This window comes from Homo sapiens, chromosome 14 (genome assembly GCF_000001405.40).
Source record: "Homo sapiens chromosome 14, GRCh38.p14 Primary Assembly".
Taxonomy (NCBI): domain Eukaryota; kingdom Metazoa; phylum Chordata; class Mammalia; order Primates; family Hominidae; genus Homo; species Homo sapiens.
In genome coordinates this window covers 22,709,107-22,721,675 of record NC_000014.9, presented here as the reverse complement: position 1 = coordinate 22,721,675, position 12,569 = coordinate 22,709,107, and the positions used below count along the sequence as shown (strand labels likewise).

General features: G+C 40.1%; 1 long non-coding RNA gene across 1 annotated transcript in view; it reads left to right on the top strand.

Annotated features, from left to right (window-relative positions):
• OXA1L-DT (OXA1L divergent transcript) overlaps positions 1–12,569 on the top strand; it is a 62,343-nt gene that overhangs the window by 44,887 nt on the left and 4,887 nt on the right. The window contains exon 2 of the long non-coding RNA XR_001750638.3: positions 4,456–4,580. This is a non-coding gene — a long non-coding RNA (OXA1L divergent transcript). The remainder of the gene's footprint in view (positions 1–4,455; positions 4,581–12,569) is intronic.

Below are 12,569 nucleotides of genomic sequence, written 5' to 3'. Positions count from 1 at the left end.
ATCATTTCATTCAGTATGCTGATATTTAGGATTTTTGTAGCTATGTTTGTGAGAAAGATTCGTTTGTAATTTTTCTTTACTGTCATGTCCTTTTCAGTTTTGATATCAAGGTTTTGTTAGCCTCTTAAAATGATTTGGAAAGTGGTTTTTACTTTTTTCAGGTCTACATTCTCCCAGTTTCAAGTTCAGAGAGAGAGAGAGCCTCTCTCCCATCAGTTCTCATAAGTGTCTCTGAATTGACTCATTTCGTCTCATTGGCCTGATTAGATGGTTGTGAGGCCATCCCTAAGCCAATAACCATGGTCGTGCTCTGATTCATTGAGAATGAAGTCAGTGCCACCTGGGCTACATAGACTGAGAATGGAAAGGGGCTTTCTTGAGAAAAATCAGGATCCTATTAGGGTAAGAATGGGTAATGGATGCTAGGCAGGTAGAAACTGCATATGGCCATTACATTATTTTTCTCTGACTTAAAGAACTTTAAAAACTTTACATAGCCAAATTTACATTTATTTTTTCATATTTTTTCCATTAAAACAACTCTACACACCTTAAATAAGATAATTTTCTACCTAAACTTTTCTTCTCGTTCATGTTTTATGTTTATCTGTTTAATTCATTTTGAATTAATTTCAGTTTAAAATATGAAGTATCTAACTTATTTTTTCCCTAAGATAGATCTCTCTCTCTCTTTTTTCTTTTTTTTGAGATGGAGTCTCTCTTTGTCACCCAGGCTGGAGTGCAGTGGCGTAATCTCGGCTTGCTGCAACCTCCGCCTCCCATGTTCAAGCGATTCTCCTGCCTCAGCCTCCCAAGTAGCTGGGACTACAGGTGTATGCCACAACGCCCAGCTAATTTTTGTATTTTTAGTAGAGACGGGGTTTCACCATGTTGGCCAGGATGGTCTCAATCTCTTGACCTTTTGGTCCGCCTGCCTTGGCTTCCCAAAGTGTTGGGATTACAGGCGTGAGCCACTGTGCCTGGCTGAGATCTCTTAATTCAGCTTTATTTATTCAACTGATTCCTTCTCTAAAAGATAATACCTTCACTTAACATGGTACTTACTCTGTACCAAGCCCTGTGTTCAGCATTCTAACAAAATATTTACCTATTTAATGTTTATAAGGATTTTATAAGGTAGATACTATATTGCCATGTGTATAACTGAGATACAGAGAAATCTTTCTTGTTCAAGATTAAATGGCTAAAAGGTAGCTGAGCTGGGATATGAATGCAAATAGTATGCTTCCAATAGCTCTGTTCTCCATCTGTGTGCTCCCAAATGATTGATGTCCACAGCATGCTGAGCCTTTGCAGCTAGTAGGCTTCTGTACACACACACTTTTGTTCCACCAGTTGACTTATACCAAGAATCAGTTGTTTCCAAACTCCTCCTTTCATAAATGGACTAGTTATTGTAATTACGTATTTTAACTAACTAAAAATAAACCAATGAAATACAAGTGTAAAAATCAAGTTGATTTCTTTAAATAGGTTCCATAAAGACAGGCAACAACAACAACAACAACAAAATGTTGAATTAGGTGTGGCAGGGACTATGAAGACTGGCAAACAGAGTAAAAATCTCATAATTTTGCTCACAGTTACTCAGCGTCTTTAAAATTTTTGTACTACTGGCCGGACACCTGCAGTCCCAACACTTTGGGAGGCCAAGGTCTTGAAAAAAAAATTCGAGACCAAACTGAAACTCTATACCCATTGAACAATAAATCCTCCAATCCCAGCTACTCGGGAGGCTGAGGCATGAGAATCACTTGAACCCGGAGGAGGAGGTTGCAGTGAGCTGAGATTGTGTCACTGCACTCCAGCCTGGGCAACAGAGCAAGACTCCATCTCCAAACAAACAAACAAAAATAAAAACAAAACAAAAAATTATTTTTGATGTACTTTTTTTTTTTTTTGAGATAGTATGTCACTCTGTCACCCAGGCTGGAGTGCAGTGGTGTAATCCTAGCTCACTGCAGTCTCAACCTCCTGGGCTCAATTGATCTTCCCACCTTCACCTCCCAAGTAGCTGGGACTACAGGCATGCACCACCACTCCTGGCTGATTCTTTTTTTTTTTTTTTTTTAGAGACAGGGTTTTACCATGTTGCCCAGACTGGTCTCAAACTCCTGGGCTCAAGCTGTCCTCCAGCCTCAGCCTCCCAAAGTGCTAGGATTACAAGTGTGAGCCACTGCTCCAGGCCTGATTTCGATGTACTTCTGTTGTATTTTTAAATTTTTATTTATTGTTTATTAGTTTATATAGCTATGCTCATAGATTATGTACTTTGTATCCCTTTCCTTCCTGCTTATCACTATAACAATTTTTTGTCATGTTATTAAGAACTGAAAGTTTGTGTCCTCACCCCCAAATTTATATGTTAAAGTTTTAACTCCCAGGGGTATGCCATTTGGAGCCAGGGGCATTTGGAAGGTAATTTGGTTTGGGTCATGAGGTAGGGCCTCATGATGTGATTAGTGTCCTTACTGGAAGTGGAAGACAAACTAGAACTCTCTCTCTCTCCATCACTGAAGACACCAGAGAGGAAAGAGACGGAAATGGACCCTCACCAAGATCCAAATTGGATGGCACCTCTAACTTGGACTTCTTCACCTCCAGAAGTAGAAGAAATAAGTGTCTGTTGTTACACCCAGTCCACGGTATTTTGTTATAGCAGCCTGAACAGACTAAGACCTAGCACGTTCTTATTTTCTGATGCAAAAAGTTACTTCAGGCCCATCTTCTACTTGCTCTCACTTCCAACTCTGAGATCAGCAATTTCTTTAAGGAATTCTTGTTCGTATTAATGAAACGTGGCATTTAATAATCAAATAGTAGATAAGTTTAGTGGTACTTGTGTGTTATTATTTCTAGACTCTTTCTGCAGAAAGCTACGATATAGACACATAGTTTACATATGTTGAAACCATGATTGCATATTGATACATCATTTCTGATGTCAAAAAAAAACAAAACAAAACACCACAGGGTACATTCTAGTCTTCTGCCTTTCCATTGGTAACATTGTGTTCGAACTGTGAGAAATCTGGTTCCTGTAATTCTCAAAAGATAATTTATTTGCTTAAGTTGATAAAAAATAGTTTCAGAATTTTAAAAGATACCACTTGATATGGTTTGGCTGTGTCCACACCCAAATCTCATCTTGAATTGTAGTTTCCATAATTCCCATGTGTTTTGGGAGATAATCAAATTATGGCGACGATTATCCCTATGCTGTTCTCATGATAGTGAGTGAGTTCTCCTCAGATCTGATGGTTTTATAAGGGGCTTTCCCCCGCTTTGCCTGGCATTTCTCTCTCCTGCCACCCTGTGAAGAGGTGCCTTCCACCACCATGACTGTAAGTTTCCTGAGGCTTCCCCAGCCATCCAGAACCATGAGTCAATTAAACCTCTTTTCTTCATAAATTACCCAGTCTCGGGTGTTTCTCCATAGCAGCATGACAATGGACTAATCTATAAAAGAAAACCAACTCAATGGAGTTTAATGTTTATTTCAAAACATCAAACTTATCACTTATTTGCTTTTTTTAAACTTACATTTACATACAGTGAAATGGACCAATCTTAGGTTTACAACTTAATACATTTCACAAATGCATACACAAGTATAAGCCCCACCCTTTTCAAGATAAAAGCATGTTTATTACACCCAAAAGTTTCTTACTGCCTCTTCCTGCACAGAACAACCACTTATCTGTTCTAGAACTTCATATATTTGGAATTACACAGTATGTATTATTTTGTGCCCAGCTTTTTCTTCTCCTTAGAATGTTTTTGAAATTCATCCATGTTGTGTGTTTCTTTTTTTTTTTATCATTAAGTGGTATTCTATTAAACAAATATACTAAAATGTGTGTACGTACTGCTGATTGAATTCTGGGTTATTTTCAGTTTTTCTGTTGTAAATGAAGTTGCTGTGAACATATTTTTATAAGTCTTTTGTAGGCATACATCTTAATTTTCCTTGGAAAAGTAACTAGGAATAGAATTGTGTGGTTGTAGAATAGATGCATGTTTAATTTTATAAGAAATTGCAAAAAGTTTTTCAAATTTCATTATACCACTTTACCTTTTCATTATCAATATAGGAGGTCATTCCACATCCTCACTAACATTTGTTGTAGCCAGTCTTGATTTATCCATTCTTGAATGCATGCCAAAATTAGGCAAGCACAACCTACCTTATGCAAGGAATTGCTAAACGTGAAAAATCATTACTTTCATGGGAAAATATGGCAGTTCACAGAAAGTGAAATTTCTAAATAAAAAATATATTTCTGAAATATAATTATTGCTAAAAAACATTTTATAAAATGACCCATGCATATTATTAAAGTATATTCGGTTAAAAATAAAAATTTGAGGTTATATACTTAAAATCCATGTAAATGATCAAATAAATTCAATAGGAAAAATTATCTATTTCAGCAGAAGCCAGAGAATATCATCTAAATATTGACATTTCAAGAAACCGGATGTAAAGGAAACCAAAGTGAGATATGAAACAATCCAGTGAGGAGAATAAGAAACCTGCCTAAAAATGAGTTTTGAAGGTAAGGATAAAATGCAAGGGCATAACTAATGATTGCTCATAGTGTACCTTAGATAAAATGCCAACTCAAGCTAAGGGTGTGTGTGTGGCAGAGTTGAGGGGGGAGGGTGGTGTGTGCTGCTAGAATTTAGGTTTTTGAAATCCAAGTTTTACTCCAGAACACTAATTCCTTAGAAGGAGGGCCTTTCAACTCAGAGTAAAGTCACCCAGAGTATCTTTTCTTAACATTGATAAAGTTGTTTTTCTGCTATTTGTTAAGATAATGACAGAAGCTCATGTCCTTCAGAACAGGGCTTGAGAAGTTGGATATTAAGGTATATGTGTTTAAATCTGTTGCATCTGAATTTATAACAATTGTTCCAAGCATTCATTTGGATAGGCTGAATTCTACTATATGTAGCACTTACAGTTTGCACTTACTGTAAACAAGATTCTGAGTAAATCTTCAGCCTTACCAAGGATGCTTCCTTTAAAGACAATTAGAGATGGATTTTTGCATTATTTAGTTTGACTTTCTATAGTGCTTGCAAGACAAAATATTTTTCAAGTATTCGCCCTGCCTATGTATGTCCTGTCTTACTCAGTGCAGACTACGAAATCCATAGACAGATGAAAAATCATTCAATATTTTCTGTTGCTTGTGCAAGATTAAGACGGACAAAAACCACATCACTTCCAAATTCTTTGCAATTGTAGACCCTTTTCTAACAGAGAAAGTGGGTTGATTTGGGAATTTAAAGAGAGAGCCTAATATGTGAAATCTTAACAAATACCTTTCTCTGAAAAGAACTAACCCAAAGCTGTGAAAAATCTTTCCTAATGTTTACATTTTAAAATGTGATTTGAACGATAATTGCACTAATATAAATTATATAAAATTAATTTAGAAATTATAGAAAAAATACTGAGAAAAGTGAGAAAAATCATAGCTTAAAAACATAATTGCTGAGCAGAAAAACTCAATGGAATTATGCAAACAATACTTTACAGAGGCAGTGAAGATCTACATGGTAAATTATTGCATAATATAAACAAGAATGATAAGAAGATAGAAACTATGAGTATGAAAATTCTGTGTACTTTATATTCTCCAAAGAGAAAACTATTCTAAAAAAACTCTCAAAAAGGCAACTACAAAATTTAAAAAATTTCTATTAATTTTTTATTAATTTAATTAAATAATTTAATTCAATATTTTTTATTAATTTAATTTTATAATTTTAATTAAAAAGTTGTTTTGGAAAAATAGAAGTGGTAAGTGAAATAATATAAAGCTAGATTTGTTGAGTCATTGCTTTAATATGTTTATTAGTCTTAATAATAATATAAAAATGAATTAATAATGATAATGTCCACCTCCTGCCATATGGAAAGTAATATCACCCCCCTCTCCCCACCTGGAGGTTACGAGCCACATGGCAGGGGGGTGTCCACCCCCACCATATGGGGAGTAATATCACTGACCCCATTCACCCTGGAGGTTACGAGCCACATGGCGGGAGGGAGTCCACCTCCACCATATGGGGAGTAATATCACCCCCTTCTTCCCCCCTGGATATTACGAGCCACATGGCAAGGGGAGTCCATCCCCACCATATGGGGAGTAATATCACTCCCCCCATTCGCCCTGGAGGTTACGAGCCACATGGTGGGAGGGTGTCCACCCCCACATCATGGGAAGTGATATCACGCCCATCTACCCTCCTGGAGGTTATGAGCCACATGGTGGGAGGGTGTCCACCCCCACCATATGGGAAGTGATATCACCCCCCTCTACCCCCCTGGAGGTTATGAGCCACATGGCAGGGGGGTGTCCACCCCCACCATATGGGGAGTAATATCACTCCCCCCATTTGCCCTGGAGGTTATGAGCCACACGGTGGGAGGGTGTCCACCCCCACCATATGGGGGTAATGTCACCCCCTTCTCCCACATTACGAGCCACATGGCAGGGAGTTGTCAACACAGTGTGTTTATGTTATTGGGAGTAATATCATCTCCCTCTTTGGAAATTACGAGCAATATCACAGGGGGTGTACAGCACCTGCGAAATTGAGAGTAATATCACCCTCTCCCCTTCTGCATATTAGAGAAAAATATCACTGGGGTGTGTACACCTCCTACAATATTGGGAGTAATATCATACTCTTTCCCCCTGGATATTAGGAACAGTATCACAGGGAAGGTGTACGCCTTCCGCCATACTGGGAGTAATAATATCCTCTCTCGCTCTGGATATTAGGAAAAATATTACAGTGGGGTGTACAGCGCCTGCGATATTGGGAGTAATATAATTTTATCCCCTCCTCCTGGGTAGTAGGAACAATATCACAGGGGTGTTTACATTCCCTGCGATATTGAGGTATTGAGAGTAATATCATCTTCTCTCCTCCTGGATATTAGGAACTATATCACGGGGGGGAGGGGTGTACACCATCTGCAAATTTGAAAGTAATATAATCTTCTTCCATGGATATTAGAAACGATGTCACAGAAGGAATGTACACTTTCTCTGATATTGGGAGTAATATTATCTTCTCCCCGCCCCCCCGGGTATTAGGAACAATATCGGGGGCTGGGGTGTGTACGCCTCCTGTGATATTAAGAGTAATAGTTTTTCCCCTGGATATTAGGAAAAACATGAGAGGGTGGGTGTACACTCCCTGCAATATTGGAAGTAATATCATCCTCCATCCTCAAATATTAAAAACAATATCCCAGAGAACGTGTACATTCCCTGCGATATTTGGAGTAATATTATCCCCTACCCCCGCTAGATATTAGGAACAATATCACATAGGAGTGCACACCCCCTGCGATATTGGGAGTAATATAATCCTCTTTCCCCTTGGATATTAAAAACAGTATCACAGAGGGGGTGTACGCCCCCTTCGAAATTGGTAGTAACAACATACTCTCCCTCCCGGGATATTAGGAACAATATTACAGGGTGGGTGTACACTCACTGCAATTTTGGGAGTAATATCATCTGCTCCCTTAATGGATATTAAGAACAATATCACAGGCGGGGTGTTTTCCCCACCTGCGATATTGGGAGTAATATCATCCTCTTCCCACCTGAATATTAGGAATAAAATCACAGGGAGGGTGCACACCCCCTGCGATATTGGGAGTAATATCATCCTCTCCCCTCCTGGATATTATAAACGATATCACAACGGGGGGTGTACACCCCCACGATTTTGAAAGTAATATCATCTTCTCCCCAACTGATACTAAAAACATTATCACACGGATGTGTATGCCTCCTGCAATATAAAGAGTAATTTCATCCTCTCCCCTCCTGGATATTAGGAAGAATATCACGGGGCGGGGCTTTGTACGCCCTCTGCAATATTGGGAGTAATATCATCTTCTGCCCCCTGGATATTAAAAACAATATCACAGAGGGGGTATGCAACCCCTGCGATAGTGGGAGTAATATCATCCTCTCCCGCCCTGGATATTAGGAACAATATCATGGTGGGAAAGGTGTACACGCCGTGCGATATTAGGAGTAATATCATCCACTTCCCCTCTGGATTTAGAAACAATATCACAGGGGAAGTGTACACCCCCTGCGATGTTAAGAGTAATATCACGGCTGGGCGCGGTGGCTCACGCTTGTTATCCCAGCACTTTGGGAGGCCGAGGCGGGCGGATCACGAGGTCAGGAGATCGAGACTATCCTGCCTAACACGGTGAAACCCCGTCTCTACTAAAAAAAAAAAAAAAAAATACAAAAATTAGCCGGGCGCGGTAGAGGGCGCCTGTAGTTCCAGCTGCTCGGGAGGCTGAGGCGGGAGAATGGCGTGAACCCGGGAGGCGGAGCTTGCAGTGAGCCGAGATCGCGCCGCTGCACTCCAGCCTGGGTGACAGAGCGTGACTCCGCCTCAAAAAAAAAAAAAAAAAAAAAAAGAGTAATATCATCCTCTCCTTCCCTGGATATTAGAAACAGCCTTACAGAGAGGTGTATACCAACTGTGATCTTAGGAGTAATATTATCCTTTACCCCCCTGGATATTAGGAACAATATCACAGAAAGGTTGTACAACATCTCGATATTGGGAGTAATATAATCCTCTCCACTTCCGCATATTAGAAACAATATCACAGGTGGGGGTGTACATCCCGTGCGTTATTGGAAGTAATATCATTTTCTTCCTTTCTGGATATTCAGAACAATATCACAGGAGGGCTGTACACTCCCTGCAATATTGCGAGTAATATTATCCTCTTCGCCCATGGAAATTAGGAACAATATCACAGGCAAGGTGTACACCTCTTGAGATACTGAAAGTAATATCATCCTTTCCGAACCTGGATATTAGGAACAATATCACGGGGAGTTGTATACTCTCCGCGATATTGAGAGTAATATCATTTTCTCCCTGCTATATTTTAAGAACAATATCACAAAGGGGGTGTACAACTGCTGCAATATTGGGAGTAATGTCATCTTTTTTCTTCTGGATATTAGGAACAATACTACAAGGGATGTGTACATCCCTGCAATATTGAAAGTAATATCAACCTCTGCCACCCTGGATATTAGGAAAAATATCACAGGAGGGGTGTACACCCCTTGCATTACTGGGAGTAATATTATCCTCCCCTAACCTGGATATTAACATCACAGGAGGGGTGTACACCCCCTTCGATATTGAGAGTAATATTATCCTCTCCCTCTCTAGATATGAGAAACCATATCACAAGGTGAATGTACATTCCCTGCAATGTTGGGAGTAATATCATTCTCTTTACCCCTGGTTTTACACCCCCTCTGATATTTGTACTAATAGTATCCTCTTCTGTCCTGGATATTAAAAACAATAGCACAAGGTGGGTGTACACCCCCTGCAATATTGGGAGAAATATTATGCTCTCTTCCCCTGGATATTAGAAACAATATCACAGAAGGGGTGTACACCCCCTGCGACATTGGGAATAATATCATCCTCTGCGTCCCTGAATATTAGGAACAGTGGTTCACCCCCCTGTAATATTGGGCATAATATCCTCTCTCTCTCTCTCTCTAAATATTGGGAACAATATCACAAGTGAGGTGTACAGCCCCGGTGATATTGGGTGTAATATTATCCTCTCTCACTTTGGATATTAGGAACAATACGAAAGAAGGTGCATACACCCCCTGCGATATTGGAAGTAATATCATCCTCACTCCACCTGGATATTAGAAACATTGTCACCTGGGGGTTGTACCCCCCCTGTGAAATTGGGCATAATATCATTATTTTCAACTGTGGATATGACGAACAGTATCACAGAAGAGGTGTATGACCTGTGCGATATTGAGAGTAATATCATCCCTTCCCTTTTTGGATATTAGCAACAATGTTACAGAAGGGGTCTACACCCTCTGCGATATTTGGAGTAATATCATCCTCTCCCCCTTTGGATATTCGGGAAATATAACGTGGGGGTGTACACCCCTAGCGATATTGGAAGTAATATCATCCTCTCCCCCCATGAATATTAGGAACAATATCACGGTGGGGGTGTACACCCCCTGCAGTATTGGGACTTTTCCTTTTCTCACCCTTGTGATATTAGGAAGAATATCACAGGAAAAGTGTACACCCCCTGCGATATTGGGAGTAATATCATTTTGTTTCCTTCTGGATATTAGGCACAATATCATGGGGTGGGTATACACCCCCTGCAACATTGGGAATAATATTCTTCTCTTCTTCCCTGGATATTAGGAAATGCATCACAGTGGTGGCGTACACCCCCTGCGATATTAGGAGTAATATAATCCTCTCCCCCCCGAATATTAGGAATAATATCACAGGGGGCGTGTACACTTTCTGCGATATTGGGAGTAACATCATTCTCTTTTTCCCAGGATATTAGGAACAATATCACAAAGGGGGTGTACACTGTCTACAACATTGGGAGTGATATCATCTCCCCCACTGAATATTAGGAACAATATCCCAGAGGGGATGCACACCTCTTGCGATATTGGGAATAATATTATCCTGTCTCCTCTTGGATATTAGGAACAATACACCCCCTGCGACACTGGAAGTAATATCATCCTCTCTCTTCCTTGATATTAGGTACAATATCACAGGGGGATTGTACTCCCCCTGCGATATTGGGAGTAATATTATTCTCTTCCCCTGTGGATTTTGGGGGTGTACACCCCCCTGTGATATTGTTTGTAATATTTAGGGGGGAGTTGATATTACTCGCAATATCGTAAACACCCTGTGTGTACATTCTCGGTGATAACGTTCGTCATATCCAGGGTGGCAGAGGATGATATTACTCCCAATATCACAGGGTGTGTACCCCATCCTATGATATTGTTGATAATATCCAGGGGAGGAGAGGGTGGTATTACTCCCAATATTGCAGAGTGTACACCTTCCTGTGATATTGTTCATAATATTCAGAGGGGGAGAGGATGGCATTACTTCCAATATCGCATGGAGTATACACTCCCCTATGATGTTGTTTATAGTTTTTCAGGGGGGAGCATAAAAGTATTCCCAATATCACAGAGGGTGTACATCCTTCTGTGATATTGTTTGTAATATGCACTGGGGGAGAAAATGATATTACTCCCAATGTCGCAAAGATTGTATACCCCTCGTGATATTGTTCATAATATCCAGGGGGAAAGAGGATGATATTACTTTTAACACTGCAGGGCGTGTACACCCCTTTGTAATATTGTTCATGATATCCAGGGGTGAGAGTATGTTCTTACTCTTAATATCGCAGGGGGTGTACACCCCCTCGGGATATTGTTCGTAATATCAAGGCGGGGAAAGGATGATATTATTCCCAATTTTGCAGGGGGTGTACACCCACCTGTGATATTTTTGCTATTACCCGGTGGGGGGGGGAGCATATCGCCCCCAATATCGCAGGGGGTGTACACCGTTCTGTCATATTGTTCGTAGTAACCAGGTGGAAAGAAAATGATATTAACCTCAATACTGCAGGGGGTGTACACCCTCCTGTGATATTGTTCACAATATCCAGGGAGGGAGAGGATAATATTACTTTCTACATCGCAGCAGCTGTAGAACTTCCTGTGATATTATTTGTAATACCCAGGAGGGGAGAGGATGATATTACTTCCCATATCTCAAGGGGTTAACACCCTTCTGTGATACTGTTCATAATATTCAGGTGGGGAGAAGATGATATTACAGTCAATATTGCAGAGGGTGTACACCCTCCTGTGATATTGTTTGTAATATTGGGGGGGTGAGGATGACATGACTCCCTATATCGCAGGGGTGTACACCTTCCCGTGATATTTTGTAATATCCAGAGAGGGAGAGGATGATATTACTCCCAGTATCGCAGGAGGTGTATACCCCTCTGTAATATTGTTTGTAATATCCAGGTGGGGAGAAAATGATATTACAGGAAGTATAGAACCCCCTGTGATATTATTCGTAATATCCAAAAGAAAAGCGGATTATATTTCTTCCAATATCGCAAGAGGTGTACACCCTTCTGTGATACTGTTCGTAATATCCAGGGAATGAGAAGATAATATTACTCCCCATATTGCAGGGCTTGTACACCCCCGTGTGATATTTTTCATAATATCCAGTGAGAAAGAGGATGATATTACTCCCCATATCTCAGGAGGTGTACACTCCCTTGTAATATTGTTCATAATATTTGGGTGGGGGGAGGATAATATTATACCCCATATCGCAGGAGGTGTACACTCCTTTGTAATATTGTCCATAATATTTGGGTGGGGGGAGGATAATATTATACCCCATATTACAAAGGGTGTACACCCCCCTGTGATATTGTTTGTAATATCCAGGGAAGGAAAGGACGATATTACTCCCCATTATTACTCCCCATATCGGAAAATGTGTACACCCACCTGTGATATTCTCCAAAACATTCAATGGGGGAAAGGATAATATTACTCCCCATATTGCAGAGGGTGTACACTTTTCCTGTGATGTTTGTAATATTCATG